Genomic DNA, 16,386 nt, shown 5'->3' on the forward strand with positions numbered 1-16,386 from the left:
TGTTGCTGGAACACAAAGCCAAAGGTGGGGTTAAGGGGTGAGGGGGGTGGCAAGGTGGGGGGTGAGGGGAGAGATGGGGTGAGAACTGTTAGTCTGGGTCCCCCAAGAAGCAGACACCAAGACAGAATTATCCACACAAGGATTTTATTACAGGAAGCGTCTATGAGAAAAAAATGGGAAAATCTGGTCAGATTGCAATGTACGATGGACTCCATGCAAAGAGAAAGGGAAAGAAGATTAGATGAAAGCATCCTTAGATAGATGCCATGCAGTCTTAAGAAAGGTTCTTCAGGATCATCAAGAATCCCTGAACCAGGCCAGGTGCGGTGCCTCACACTTGTAATGCCAGCACTTTGGGAGGCCGGGGTGGGCAAATCACCCAAGGTCAGGAGTTCGAGACTAGCCTGGCCAACATAGTGAAACCCCGTCTCTATTAAAAATACAAAAAAATTAGTCAGGCATGGTGGCAGGCACCTGTAAGCCCAGCTACTCGGGAGGCAGGAGAATTGTTTGAACCTGGGAGGCAGAGGTTGCACTGAGCCGAGATCACACCATTGCACTCCACCCTGAGCAACAAGAGCAAGACTCTGTCTCAAAAAAATAAATAAATAAATAATAAAAAAAATAAGAATCCCTGAACCAGGCTGGGCACAGTGGCTCATGTCTGTAATCCCAACACTTTGGGAGGCTGAGGTGGGCAGATCATTTGAGGTCAGGAGTTCAAGACCAGCCTGGCCAACATGGTGAAACCCCATCTCTACTAAAAATACAAAAATTAGCTGGGCATGGTGGTGTGCTCCTGTAATTCCAGCTACTTGGGAGACTGAGACCAGAGAATTGCTTGAACCCGGAGACAGAGGTTGCAGTGAGCTGAGATCACGCCACTGCACTCCAGCCTGGGCAACAGAGCAAGAGCTCATCTCAAAACAAACAAAAAAGAATCCCTGAACCAATGTCAGCCACCAGAGTGTCTCCTAGGAACAGGCCTGCCTTAGCATCCCCTCCAAGCTCAGTCATTAGCTGGGTGCAGTCATGAGAAGCATGGCCTCAGAGCAAAAGCACTGATGAATTTCTTCAAGTAGTTGGAGGCCTTGGTCAGTTGTACCTGCAATTGAAGGACAGTGAAGCACAATCTTCTGGCCACAAGAACAGAGAGGCAATCAGGGACCAGACCGTGGAACCTGAACCCTAACCTGTAGGTAGAGGATTCTAAATTTGAAACTCTTTTCATAAATCAGCCCAGATTTCTAATTTCTCTAAATCAATCAACAACACTGGGCCAAAACTGAGCGTAGTTTGACATAACCCCCATTAATCCCTCTTACACTAGGCCACATTATTGATTTATATAACTTTTCTGTCCCTGAATTTGGGAACTATGATCCAGCCAACCCCTATCTTTACACAGGAAATTAAAACTCCTAGCAGCTATGTGACACTACTCTGAAGGTTACAAAGAAGCAAAGGCAGAACCAGAATCCAGATGTCCTTATTAGAAGCTCTTTTCGATATTATTTTTATGCAGCCTAACCAAAATTTTTGCCCTAAAATCAGCATCAATGTTAACAGATTCTTTATGGCTGTATACCACCACTGACCAATCATCAACCCCACCCCAGTACCCACCTACTCAAATATGTCAAAAGGTAGGGTGATTTTTTTCATGTGCCTTGCTCATCGCCATACTTAGACAGTGAATTCTCAAAGTCTCCAGGAAAACAGAAGTGGTTTTACACTCTATTTTTATCTTAATGCCACAGGGATGTAAAAGTTAACCACCTATGAAGTACACGATCCCAAAAGGTCAGGGCTGATTCTGCCCTGCTGGTTACGAAAGCGTCCTCTCCCCTGGCCAAACAGACTAACCTGCCCTGTCATAGAGACTGTTCTTAGATTAAGTTCAGAAGTAAGCATCACTGCTAGAATGTCTGACCTATTTTTCCAAAACACAGCTCTCTTCCCCTTACTAAATATGCATTTATACTGAAATATACCATTGACCTTGTTTTCTATAAAATTATACACAATAATTCAGAACTTCATATCCTACTAACATAGACCACAACAGTCATTTTCAAAGAATACTGATAATTCTATGGAATGCAATTTAAGGACATTAAAAGCCTTCTTCTTGGGCATGAAATCTTACCATATACAAGCTGGGCCCTGAAAGTTTAATTTCCTTTAGTCCTATTTATGGGGCCTATGATTAACCTGCTGCTCTCCATCCTCTTCCCTCATCCCTGGGCCACATGACTACCAAGTCCAAGGATGCCTGCCACCCTCTTGCATAGTGCCCTTTCCTACAACTGCCACCAAACTCAGCTGACAGCATGATGAGTATCACAGAGCTTCAATGGCCCAAAGTCTCAAGTACCTGAACATGGTATATGAGGAGGAAGATCTTTACCACTTCCCCCAAAAGGTATAAGAAACATCACTTCATACTCTCCCCTCAAGTATAGCAATTTTAACACCCCCGGCCCCACCTCACATACCAAGAATACACCCTAGAAATTTGCTTTGGAGATGCTGGCAAGACGGCCGAATAGGAACAGCTCCAGTCTGCAGCTCTCAGTGAGATCAATGAAGAAGGCAGGTGACTTACGCATTACCAACTGAGGTACCAGGTTCATCTCACTGGGACTGGTTGGACAGCGGGTGCAGCCCACAGAGGGCAGGCAGAAGCAAGGTGGGGTGTTGCCTCACCCGGGAAGCGCTAGGGGTCAGGGAACTCCCTCTTCTAGCCAAGGGAAGCCATGATGGACTGTGCCGTGAGGAACAGTGCACTCCGGCCCACATACTGCATTTTTCCCACGGTCTTTGCAACCCACAGACCAGGAGATTCCCTCTGGTGCCTACGCCACCAGGGCACTGGGTTTCAAGCACAAAACTGGGTGGCCGTTGGGGCAGACACCAAGCTAGGTGCAGGAGTTTTTTTTCATACCCCAGTGGCACCTGGAAGGCCAGAGAGACAGGACCGTTCACTGCCCTGGAAAGGGGGCCAAAGCCAGGGAGTCACATGGTCAGGCTCAGCGGGTCCCACCCCCACGGAGCCCAGCAAGCTAAGATCCACTGGCTTGAAATTCTCGCTGTCAGCACAGCAGTCTGAAGTTGACCTGGGACGCTCGAGCTTGGTGTGGGGAGGGGCATCCACCATTGCTGAGGCTTGAGTAGGCGGTTTTACCCTCACAGCATAAACAAAGCCACATGGAAGAGCGAACTGGGTGGAGCCCACTGCAGCATCTCTGAAAAAAAAAGGCAGCAGCCCCAGTCAGGGGCTTATATATAAAACCCCCATCTCCCTGGGACAGAGCACCTGGGAGAAGGGGTGGCTGTGGGAGAAGATTCAGCAGACTTAAACGTCCCTGCCTGATGGCTCTGAAGAGAGCAACAGATCTCCCAGCACAGCATTCAAGCTCTGCTGAAGGTCAGACTACCTTCTCAAGTGGGTCCCTGACCCCTGTGTCTCCTGATTGGGAGACACTTCCCAGTAGGGGCCAGCAGACACCTCATACAGGAAAGCTCCGGCTGCTATCTGGCAGGTGCCCCTCCAGGACGAAGCTTCCAGAGGAAGGAATAGGCAGCAATATGGGCTGTTCTGCAGCCTCTGCTGGTGATATCCAGGCAAACAGGGTCTGGAGTGCACCTCCAGCAAACTCCAGCAGACCTGAAGCGGAGGGGCCTGTTAGAAGGAAAACTAACAAACAGAAAAGAATAGCATCAATATCAACAAAAAGGACATCCACACAGAAACCCCATCCGAAGGTCACCAACATCAAACACCAAAGGTAGATAAATCCACAAAGATGGAGAGAAACCAGCACAAAAACGCTGAAAATTCCAAAAACCAGAACGCCTCTTCTCCTCCAAAGGATCACAACTCCTCGCCAGCAAAGGAACAAAACTGGATGGAGAACGAGTTTGCCAAATTGACAGAAGTAGGCTAAAGAGGGTGGGTAACAACAACCTCCTCCGAGCTAAAGAAGCATGTTCTAACCCAATGCAAGGAAGCTAAGAACCTTGAAAAAAGGTTAGAGGAATTGCTAACGAGAATAACCAGTTTAGAGAAGAACATAAATGACCTGATGGAGCTGAAAAACACAGCACGAGAACTTCATGAAGCACACACAAGTATCAATAGCCAAATAGATCAAGTGGAAGAAAGGATATCAGAAACTGAAGATCAACTTAATGAAATAAAGCGAAAAGACAAGGTTAGAGAAAAAAAGAATGAAAAGGAACAAACAAAGCCTCCAAGAAATATGGGACTGTCAAAGACCAAATCTACGTTTGATTGATGTACCTGAAAGTGATGGAGAGAATGGAACCAAGTTGGAAAACACACTTCAGGATATTATCCAGGAGAACTTCCCCAACCTAGCAAGACAGGCCAACATTCAAATTCAGGAAATACAAGAGAACACCACAAATATACTCCTCGAGAAGAGGAACCCCAAGACACATAATTGTCAGATTCACCAAGGTTAAAATGAGGGAAAAAATGTTAAGGGCAGCCAGAGAGAAAGGTTGGGTTACCCGCAAAGGGAAGCCCATCAGACTAACAGTGGATCTCTGCAAAAACTCTACAAGCCAGAAAAGAGTGGGGGTCAATATTCAACATTCTTAAAGAAAAGAATTTTCAACCCAGAATTTCATATCCAGACAAACTAAGCTTCATAAGCGAAGGAGAAATAAAATCCTTTACAGAAAAACAAATGCTGAGAGATCTTCTCACAACCAGGCCTGCCTTACAAGAGCTCCTGAAGGAAGCACTAAACATGGAAAGGAAAAACCGGTACCAGCCACTGCAAAAACATACCAAATTGTAAAGACCATCAACACTGTGAAGAAACTGCACCAACTAACGGGCAAAATAACCAGCTAACATCATAATGACAGGATCAAATTCACACATAACAATATTAACCTTAAAGGTAAACAAGCTGAATGCCCCAATTAAAAAGACATAGACTGACAAATTGAATGAAGAGTTAAGACCCATCAGTGTGCTGTATTCAGGAGACCCATCTCACGTGCAGAGACACACATAAGCTCAAAATACAGGGATGGAGGAATATTTACCACACAAATGGAAAGCAAAAAAAAAAAAAAAAGCAGGGGTTGCAATCCTGATCTCTGATAAAACAGGCTTTAAACACAAAAAATCAAAAGAAACAAAGAAGGCCATTACATAATGGTAAAGGGATCAATGCAACAAGTAGAGCTGACTATCCTAAATATATATGCACCCAATACAGGAGTATTCAGATTCATAAAGCAAGTTCTTAGAGATCTACAAAGAGACATAGACTCCCACACCATAATAGTGGGAGACTTTAACACCCCACTGTCAATATTAGACAGATCAATGAGACAGAAAATTACAAGGATATTCAGACCTGAACTCAGCTCTGGACCAAGCAGACCTAATAGACATCTACAGAACTCTCCACCCCAAATCAACAGAATATACATTCTTCTCAGCACCACATCACACTTATTCTAAAATCGACCACATAATTGGAAGTAAAACACTCCTCAGCAAATGCAAAAGAATGGAAATCGTAACAGTCTCTCAGACCACAGTGCAATAAATTAGAACTCAGGATTAAGAGACTTACTCAAAAACCACACAACTACATGGAAACTGAACAACCTGCTCCTGAATGACTACTGGGTAAATAATGAAATGAAGGCAGAAATAAAGAAGTTCTTTGAAACCAATGAGAACAAAGATACAATGTACCAGAATCTCTGGGACACTGCTAAAGCAGTGTGTAGAGGGAAATTTACAGCACTAAATGCCCACAAGAGAAAGTAGGAAAGATCTAAAATTGACACCCTAACATCGCAATTAAAAGAACAAGAGAAGAGCAAACAAATTCAAAAACTAGCAGAAGACAAGAAATAACTAATTTCAGAGCAGAAATGAAGGAGATACAGACACGAAAAACCCTTCAAAAAAAAAATCAATGAATCTAGGAGCTGTTTTTTTTTAAATGATCAACAAAATACATAGACCACTAGCAAGACTAACAAAGAAAAGAAACAAACACAATAAAAAATGATAAAGGAGATATTACCACTGATCCCACAGAAATACAAAGGAACCATCAGAGAATACTATAAACACCTCTACACAAATAAACTAGAAAATCTCGAAGAAATGGATAAATTCCTGGACATATACATGCTCCCAAGTCTAAACCAGGAAGAAGTCAAATCCCTGAATAGACCAGTAACAAGTTCTGAAATTGAGGCAGTAATTAATAGCCTACCAATCAAAAAATGTCCAGGACCAGAAAGATTCACAGCCGAATTCGACCGGAGGTACAAAGAGGGGCTGATAACATCCCTTCTGAAACTATTACAAACAATATAAAAAGAGGGACTCCTGCTTACTAACTCATTTTATGAGGCCAGCATCATCCTGATACCAAAGCCTGACGGAGATATTAAAAAAAAAAAAATTTCAGGCCAATATCCCCGATAAACATCGATGTGAAAATCCTGAATAAAATACTGGCAAACTGAATCCAGCAGCACATCCAAAAGTTTATCCATCATGATCAAGTCAGCTTCATCCCTGGGATGCAAGGCTGGTTCAACATACACAAATCAATAAATGTAATCCATTACATAAACAAACCAATGACAAAAAACCACATGATTATCTCAATAGATGCAGAAAAGGCCTTCAACAAAATTCAACACCGCTTCATGCTAAAAACTCTCAATAAACTTGGTATTGATGGAACGTATCTCAAAATAATAAGAGCTATTTATGACAAACCCACAGCCAATATCATACGGAATGGACAAAAAAGGAAAGCATTCTCTTTGAAATCCGGCACAAGACAAGGATAACCTCTCTCACCATTCCTATTCAACATAGTATTGGAAGTTCTGGTCAGGGCAATCAGGCAAGAGAAAGAAATAAAGGGTATTCAAATAGGCAGAGAGGAAGTCAAATTGTCTCTGCAGATGACATGATTGTATATTTAGAAAACCCCATCGTCTCAGCCCAACATCTCCTAAAGCTGATAAGCAACTTCAGCAAAGTCTCAGGATACAACATCAATGTGCGAAAATCACCAGCATTCCTATACACCAATAACAAACAAACAGAGAGCCAAATTATGAGTGAACTCCCATTCACAACTGCTACAAAGAGAATAAAATACCTAGGAATCCAGCTTACAAGGGATGTGAAGGACCTCTTCAAGGAGACTACAAACCTCTGCTCAAAGAAATAAGAGAGGACACAAACAAATGGAAAAAAATTCTATCCTCATGGATAGAAAGAATCAAAATCATGAAAATGGCCATATTGCCCAAAGTAATTTATAGATTCAGAGCTATCCCCATCAAGCTACCATTGACTTTCTTCACAGAATTGGAAAAAACTACTTTAAATTTCATATGGAACCAAAAAAGAGCCCGCATAGCCAAGACTATCCTAAGCAAAAAGAACAAAGCTGGAGGCATCGCACTACCTAACCTCAAACTATACTACAAGGCCACAGTAACCAAAACAGTATGGTACTGGTACAAAAACAGATATATAGATCAATGGAACAGCACACAGACCTCGGAATAGAGATCTACAACCATCTGATCTTTGACAAACCTGACAAAAACAAGCAATGGGGAAAGGATTTCCTATTTAATAGGAAATCCTATTGTGTTGGGAAAACTGGCTAGCCATATGCAGAAAAATGAAACTGGACCCCTTCCTTATACTCTATACAAAAATTAATTCAAGATGGATTAAAGACTTAAATGTAAGACTTAAAACCATAAAAACTCTAGAAGAAAACCTAGGCAATACCATTCAGGATATAGGCATGGGCAAATACTTCATGACTAAAACACCAAAAGTAATGGCAGCAAAAGCCAAAATTGACAAATGGTATCTAATTAAACTAAAGAGCTTCTGCACAGCAAAATAAACTAGCATCAGAATGAACAGACAACTTACAGAATGGGAGAAAATTTTTGCAATCTACCCATCTGACAAAGTTCTAATATCCAGAGTCTACAAGAAATTTAAACAAATTTACAAGAAAAAAGCAAACAACCCCATCAAAAAGTGGGCAAAGGATATGAACAGACACTTCTCAAAATAAGACATTTATGCGGCCAACAAACATATGAAAAAAAGCTCACCAGCACTGATCATTACAGAAATGCAAATCAAAACCACAATGAGATACCGTCTCACACCAGTCAGAATGGCAATTATTAAAAAGTCAAGAAACAAAAATGCTGGCAAGGCTGTGGAGAAATAAGAATGCTTTTGGACTGTTGGTGGGAATGTAGATTGGTTCAACCATTGCGGAGGACAATTCCTCAGGGATCTAGAACCAGAAATACCACTTGACCCAGCAATCCCATTACTGGGTATACACCCAAAGGATTATAAATCATTCTACTATAAAGACATATGCACACGTATGTTTATTGCGGCACTATTCACAATAGCAAAGATGTGGAACCAACCCAAATGCCCATCAATGATAGACTGGATAAAGAAAATGTGGCACATATACACCACAGAATACTATGCAGCCATAAAAAAGGATGAGTTCATGTCCTTTGCAGGGACATGGATGAAGCTGGACGCCATCATTCTCAGCAAACTATCACAAGAACAGAAAACCAAACACCACATATTCTCACTCGTAAGTGGGAGTTGAACAATGAGAACACATGGACACAGGGAGGGGAACATCACACACCGGGGCCTGTCAGGGGGTAGGGGTCTAAAGGAGGGATAGCATTGGGAGGAATACCTAATGTAGATGACAGGTTGATGGGTGCAGCAAACCACCATGGCACATATATACCTATGTAACAAACCTGTATGTTCTGCACATGTACCCTAGAACTTAAAAAAAAAAAAAAAAAAGAAAGAAATATGTTTCAACTGCAGAATATCATTCACTCAACTAATTTCTATTGAGCCGCTAATGTGCCAGGCACCATTCCCTTCCTATGTGCTAATGAGTGCTCAGTAAAACATAAAGCTGAGGACGAAATACAGGTTTTGTTAAGGTTCCCCAGGCCTTACAGAGTAGATCCACATTGAATACTTTAGGCCATGGACAAAGCCATTCCTATGCCCAGACTATGTCTGCTGGTCATTACCATTTTCAATATCTTATTTGAGTGGCAAAACAAAAGACTGACATTGTCTCCTAAACACAGGACTTGGATGGTCCACAACTAGAGTTATGATCTTTAAGCTTTCCAGGTCCACATACCTTTGACTCTACTTTTCATGCTTTTCTTCAGGACATTTTCCCCATTATCACCTCCTCCTTCCTCTGCTGCCACCAAAGCAAAGAACTCTTCCAAATTTTCACCTTCCACTTTTGCCAAGCAAAAGTTGCTAAACTTCAGTGTGCCAGGCCCTTCCAAGAGTATCTATGAAGATCAAATAAATGTTTTCAGAAAAAAAATCAACTTAATTTGTACATATATCAGTACCTCTTATAATTGTACTAAAGAACTTTTCAGCATTGCTATTCTTTATCAGAACTCAGAAAAATAAATGCTTATAATTTTTTTAAAAGCTAAAGAAAAATAAATCCAACTTTTTAATAATCAAATAAAAAATTAAATTGTTCATTCTCAGATGTATATAATGAACACATCATATAACCATAGTGGAAAACTTCAGGTTTGGGGAAAGATTAACAACGATGAAAATAAAACAATCTGCCCTTGCCAACTCTCAGTGTCAGCTATAACAGGATTTGAAAACCCAACTGCCTGAGGTGTTGTTTATTCAAGTGAGGAAGCATAATGTAGCATTAAGATTAAAGTTGGAGATCTGGATTTTAGACCCAGGTCCACCATTTACTTGCTGTCTGACCTTAAAGAATTTATTTAACCTTTCTAATCCCCAATCTCTTCACCTGTAAAATGGGAAAAATAATACCTAACTCTTCAGACTGCTGTAAGGATTAATCGAAGTTATGCAAGTAAAGGGTTTGTAACAGTCACTGGCATGTGACAAGTGCTCAAGTCTGCTAATATAATTTGTGATTAGAATCTATGGATTGTTGAAAACATGCCAGTAACTAATGTTCTGTTACTTTTATTATTTCCCGTATTAAAAGTATTTCTACATAGGTACAATGGGTCAGGTGGCTTTGTGGTTTTTCAAGGCTATGTAGGGTCAAGTGCAGTGCCTCACACCTGTAATCCCAGCACTTTGGAAGGCTGAGGCAGGCAGATCACCTAGGGCCAGGAGTTCAAGACCAGCCTGGCCAACATGGTGAAACCTTATCTCTACTCAAAATACAAAAATTAGCTGGGCATGGTGGCAGGCACCTATAATCCCAGCTACTCAGGAGGCTGAGGCACGAGAATCGCTTGAACCTGGGAGGCAGAGGTTGCAGTGAGCCAAGGTTGCGCCACCGCACTCCAGCCTGCATGAGAGCGAGACCCTGTCTAAAATAAAATAAATAAAATAAAGGCAATGTGAAGTTAACTCTTAACTTCTAGTCACAAATACATACTAAGGATGTCTGTTGGTCTACAACAGTGGCTTTTAAACTTGTGTGAGCATCAGAATCCCCTGGAAGACTTGTTAAAGCACAGACTACCAGTCACTACCCCCAGAGTTTCTGATTCAACAGGTCTGGATGGGGCCCATTTCTACCAAGTGCCAGGTCAACCTAATGCTGCTGGTCCAGAGGACCACTGGCAGGGATCAGCAAACTTTTTTGTTGTTGGTAAAGAGCCAGCTAGTAAATATTTTAGACTTTACGAGCCATACAGTCTTTTGTACTTCAATGTCATTTCATTTCAATGGAATCTCATACTTCAATTATGTTGTTGCACAATGGTAGCCACTGACATTACATAAACCAAAGGTTGTGGCTGTGTTCCAGTGAAAGTTTATATACAAAAATAGGAATCCTGCCCAACCTTCGCTAACCCCTGTTCTAGAACACAAGTTTAGGTTACAAAGCAGCCTGAATTTTTCAGATCATAACAGCTGATAATAAATCTCATTAAACAACTCCCGGATAGATATCAGCAAACTACAGCCTCTGGGACAAACCCTGGCCACTGCCTTGTACAGCTATGAACTAAGAGTGTTGGATTTTTTTTTTAAGCCGTATCTGAAAACTGCCACACACAAAAAATTAATAAAAAAAAAATAATGTGGTTTTTAGCCAGGCATGGTGGCTCACGCCTGTAATCCCAGCACTTTGGGAAGCCAAGGCAGTAGGATCACCTGAGGTCAGGAGTTTGAGACCAGCCTGGCCAACACGGTAAAACCCCGTCTCTACTAAAAATACAAAAATTTGCCACACACCTGTAGTCCCAGCTACTTGGGAGGCTAAGGCAGGAGAATCGCTTGAACCTGGCATGCTGAGTTTGCAGTGAGTTGAGATCACACCACTGCACTCCAGCCTGGGCAACAGAGTGAAACTGTGTCTCAAAAAAAATAATAATAAAATAAAAAAATTTTAAAAATGTGGTTTTTATATTTCTAAATGGCTGAGAAACAAATCAAAATAATATTTCTAGACATGTAACAATGAATTACATGAAATCCACATTTCCATATCCATAAATGAAGTTACTGAAATACAGCCACATCCAGGTATTTACAAATTGTCTACAGCTGCTTTCAGCACTACAATGACAGTTGAGTAGCTGCAGACTTGAGGCACATACATGATAATTTCAAACAAGAACTACAATTCATTATACAGGATTTTATGGAGTTTTCTTTTTTAGGTTTAATTATATTCTCATACAGATGGCCTGCAAAAATAAAATTCTTAAATGAAATATCCAGCTTTTTCTTTCCTTGGCACATATTAAAGAAAAAGTAAAAACTCAGACCAGTAATATGTACAATTCCTCAGAGGATGTACTTATAAACACAATAACTGACATCACTGTGAGCACACTACTTACCAAAAAGTATCCTAGAAACTTAACCTAAATATAATAGGTAATCCTCACAAATATCTTGAAAAATCTATCTCCATGTGACAAAGAAACTAAGGCAAAGAGAAGCAGGGTAATTTGTCCGGGTTCACATGGCTTCTAAGTGTTAGTGTTGATTGCAACTCAGAAACCAAGTAGGTTTCATGACTCTACTATACTGAAGCACATTTAGTTATGGATAATTAATTTTACCAAAAGAGAAAATATTTGATCCATAATATCAGGAATCATACACATATAGCCAAGAATGCCACTATCAAACTAAAATAATGGTTCATAAATGTGTACAATGACTTAAGAGCTAAGAGGGCCTTATCTTATAGACATATTGGGTTCATCATTTACAATATAGGTTAGTGCATTAAGTAATTACTCAAAGAGCTCTGAAAGGGAGACTTCACATTCAAAAAGCAACTTAGGCAGCTAAAATACTGTACCATATATTTCCTTTTATTTATTAATTTTTTTTTTTTTTTTTTTTTGAAATGGAGTCTCGCTCTGTCACCCAGGCTGGAGTGCAGTGGCATCAGCTCACTGCAACCTCTGCCTCCCGGATTCAAGCAATTCTCCCTGCCTCGGCCTCCCAAGTAGATGGAATTACAGGCGCTCACCACCATGCCCAGCTATTTTTTGTGTTTTTATTTATTTATTTATTTTTTTTTTTTTTTTTTTTTTTTTTTTTTTTTTTTGAGACGGAGTCTTGCTCTGTTGCTAGGCTGGAGTGCAGTGGCACGAACTCAGCTCACTGCAGCCTCTGCCTCCCAGGCTGAAGCAATTCTCCTGCCTCAGCCTCTCAGATAGTTGGGACTACAGGAGCGCACCACCACGCCCAGCTAAATTTGTATTTTTTTTTTAGTTGAGATGGGGTTTCACCATGTTGGCCAGGATGGTCTCCATCTCTTGACCTCGTGATCCGCCCGCCTCAGCCTCCCAATGTGATGGGATTATAGGCGTGAGCCACCGCGCCTAGCCTTTTATGTTTTTAGTAAAGATGGGGTTTCATCATGTTGGCCAGGCTGGTCTCGAACTCCTGACCTCAAGTGATCCGCCCGCCTCAGCCTCCCAAAGTGCTAGGATTACAGGCATGAGCCACCGTGCCCTGCCTCCTTTTATTTTAAAAAAAGATTAACTAAAATTTCAAGATATTCTATACCAAAATTTTATCCAAAAATAACAACATCTTTGAGAAAGCACTCTAATTTGAGACAGAAGCAGTTAGAAAATCAAAAACTTTCATGAATTACCTTCCTAGGAGAAATGTCACAAAAGAGAATGCCAAGTTTATGAAGATGATGTAATCCACTAATCAGGTCAATTCCAAATTCTCTCACAACATCTTCTGGGAGGTTTTCATCTTGAGCAATAACTGTTTTTAAGGAACCACCTGCAAGAGGTTGATTAAAATCACCCATTTCAACCCCCTACCATCACAGAGTGCCCCTGAGAGGTTCCACGCTGACAGATACGAACATTAAAAAATGATCAAGACAGTAAACGCTGACAGCCTGGTCAAGGAACACACATGTGAGTAAATACAGTGGCCCGAGCACTGCAACAGAAGTCTATGCCCAAGCACCAGAGACAGATTCAGGAAAGTGCCTGCTCCCTATGGATGAATGGTGAGAAGCAAGCAGGTAAGATGAAAGGATAATAACCCTAACAGCTATAAATACTAATGGTAAATACCCCAAAACTGTGCACTTAAATCACATTATGCAAAGTATAGTATCGTTTACTGTTGTGCAGTCAGGTCACATTCTGCAAAGTACTGCATGGCAAAAAAGACTATGCCTTTCCTTAACAGATAATCACAACCCTTAGCACGCGCCATTGATGAAATAAAAGGCCAAAGTCAGGCACATTGAGAATCCCATTGCTATATTCTTCCAAGGTCCCAGTTACTTCTCTACCATCTAAGTGCCAGAAATAAACTTTTTTTTAAAGGGTCAAGATTACAACAGCCAATCCATCAACAGATGAATGGATAAAGAAAATATGATACATATACACAATGGAGTACTATTCAGCCATAAAAAAGAGATTTTGTCATTTGCAACAACACAGTTGGAACTGGAGGTCATTATGTTAAGTGAAATAAGCCAGGCACAGAAAGACAAACATCGCATGTCCTCACTCATTTGTGGGAGCTGAAAATTAAAACAATTGGAATCATGGAGATAGAGAACAGAAGAATGGCTACCAGAGGTTGGGAAGGATAGTGGGGAGGTGGTGGGGGAGTGGGGATGGTTAATGGGTACAAATAAATAGTAAGAATGAATAAAAACTAGTATTTGATAGTACAACAAGTAGCTAAAGTCAATAATAACTGTACATTTTAAAATAACTAAAAGAATATAATTGGATTGTAACACAAAGGATAAACGCTTGAGGAAATGGATACCCCATTTACCCTGATGTGCTTATTACACACTGCATGCCTGTACCAACTATCTCATGTGCCCCATAAATATTAATACACACACATACTATATACCTACAAAAATTAAATATTAATACAACAGCCAAATTCAGTAAAAGTAAAGTTTCTGCTGGCATTGAAAAGTTGAATATGAATTACTATGATGAAGGGAAGAGGTATTTGGGGTTTTATTTTGTTTTGGTGGGTGACGTGCAGTTACAAACGTAGGCATGTTTTACAGTTAGGATATTACATCTGGTCAGAGATCAGAAACAACAGCTGAAGCAAAAAACTAATTCCAGGACTGTGTCTTGATAACCTTGTCCATGTGTACATCCATGGAAGTAATCAACCATAATCCTGTCCTATTGATTCAGAAAAATAAAATCAAATAAGTTATTAATCCAAATTACTTCTTTAAGTTTTATAAATTCTAAGTATCAATATAAGTTAGATGCATAAAGCTAGTAATAATTATATCAATATTCAATTATCCTTTATTGTTACTCAATGTATAAACAGAAGTACACTAACAGTAATACCTATTAATAGTTAATAGTAGTACTTAGCAGTGGTTATTACATTTTTTCCCTGTTAAAAATTTTGAAACTAAAAGCCCAGATAATATGTATTTAGTCACCTTTCTCCCTGTATATGGTCCTAGAAAGCTATATGAAGCAATAGCTATAACTTGTTATCTCTAATTATTTGTTGGTTCATCTTTGTACTTTTTCACATTGCTGAAAATTTTATGAGGTACAGTATGCTTTTCATAAAAACAAAGATACTTTATAAATTTATTAGCTAATTAATAGCTAGTCAACTTAAAATGTTTGTTTTTATTTATTGGGAAAACGTTTTTGATAAATTAATCATCACTTTAAAACATTTCTAAATTTTTATGTATATAACGTAATAATACACGAAAGTAAATCCAACCCGGAATTGAATTTACATAATTCTTCTTTTTCCCAAATGTCTTTGCTCTTCACCCTTCCCTAATATCCACAGAGCAATAGATTTTCAAGTTAACATAGTAAATAACATCAAAAGTAACAAAACTTAACAGCATGTTTTTTTTCAATACTATATTCATAGCACTTTTTACATACTCTTTCTTACCTGTGCAGAGTTCCACCACTAGCCAGAGGTGGTTGCTTGTTTCATACCATTCATGAAAAGTTACAATATTCTTGTGTTTTATTTCACGGGTGAGACGGACCTATAAAAACACAGAGCAATCACTCTAAAAAGAAATTCCTAAAACTCTTACATCTACTGAGAAAAACCTAAATATACAATTGGTAAATGGATAAGAAAATGGTGACATTTATTTGGTGGAATTCTATACAGACATTAGAAATCATGGTTATGAGGGCTAGTTACACAGAAAAACATTAACTTAAAAATAAACTTTTCTGGCGGTGCAAGATGGCTCACACCTGTAACAATCCCAGCACTTTGGGAGGCCGAGGTGGGTTGGATCACTTGAGGTCAGGAGTACAAGAGCAGCCTGACCAACGCGGTGAAACCCCGTCTCTACTAAAAATATAAAAATTAGCGGGGCGTGGTGGCACGCGCCTGAAATTCGAGCTACTCAGGAGACTAAGGCAGGAGAATTGCTTGAACTCAGGAGGCAGAAGTTGCAGGGTGCTGAGACTGCGCCACTGCACTCCAGCCTGGGTGACAGAGCAAGACTCCATCTCTCAATAAATAAATAAATAAATTTTTTTAAACTTGTGTAATACTCTTATGTGTGTCTGTGTAAATACAAATTTGCAAAAGAATTATTTATAGAAAAACGACCAGAGGATATTCACCAACATAGCTACCGTTATTGGTGAAACTGCTGGCGTTTTTTAATTCTACTTTTCTCTCATTTTCTATTGGCTACACTAAGACACACTACTTTTATGGCCAAGAAAGAAAAAAACAATTTTAAAGGGTAAAAATTTTCTGCTAAGTAAACATAACCTAACTACTCA

At 40.1% G+C, this 16,386-nt stretch overlaps 1 protein-coding gene across 4 annotated transcripts in view, besides 2 other annotated features; it reads right to left on the minus strand.

Annotated features, from left to right (window-relative positions):
* ULK4 (unc-51 like kinase 4) overlaps window positions 1–16,386 on the minus strand; it is a 715,505-nt gene that overhangs the window by 675,976 nt on the left and 23,143 nt on the right. For all 4 annotated transcript variants that reach the window (NR_136342.2, NM_001322501.2, NM_017886.4 and 1 more), the window contains exons 3-5: window positions 15,524–15,623; window positions 13,227–13,366; window positions 9,270–9,432 (exon numbers count right to left, since the gene is read on the minus strand). Coding sequence is in view for 2 of the 4 variants with exons in the window: in NM_017886.4 (NP_060356.2) it covers window positions 9,270–9,432; window positions 13,227–13,366; window positions 15,524–15,623 (403 nt within the window). In the remaining 2 variants the exon portion in view is untranslated. The remainder of the gene's footprint in view (window positions 1–9,269; window positions 9,433–13,226; window positions 13,367–15,523; window positions 15,624–16,386) is intronic.
* Window positions 2,989–3,489: an enhancer, noted in NCBI's record as "H3K4me1 hESC enhancer chr3:41967055-41967555 (GRCh37/hg19 assembly coordinates)". NCBI's record gives its function as "activates a minimal SCP1, AML or CMV promoter by ChIP-STARR-seq in naive H9 embryonic stem cells {active_cell/tissue: H9 hESC(naive)}" and the evidence as "EXISTENCE:reporter gene assay evidence [ECO:0000049][PMID:30033119]".
* Window positions 12,009–12,209: a silencer, noted in NCBI's record as "peak4618 fragment used in MPRA reporter construct". NCBI's record gives its function as "represses an SCP1 promoter by STARR-seq MPRAs in K562 erythroleukemia cells {active_cell/tissue: K562}" and the evidence as "EXISTENCE:reporter gene assay evidence [ECO:0000049][PMID:32103011]".

This window comes from Homo sapiens, chromosome 3 (genome assembly GCF_000001405.40).
Source record: "Homo sapiens chromosome 3, GRCh38.p14 Primary Assembly".
NCBI classification, from domain to species: Eukaryota; Metazoa; Chordata; class Mammalia; order Primates; family Hominidae; genus Homo; species Homo sapiens.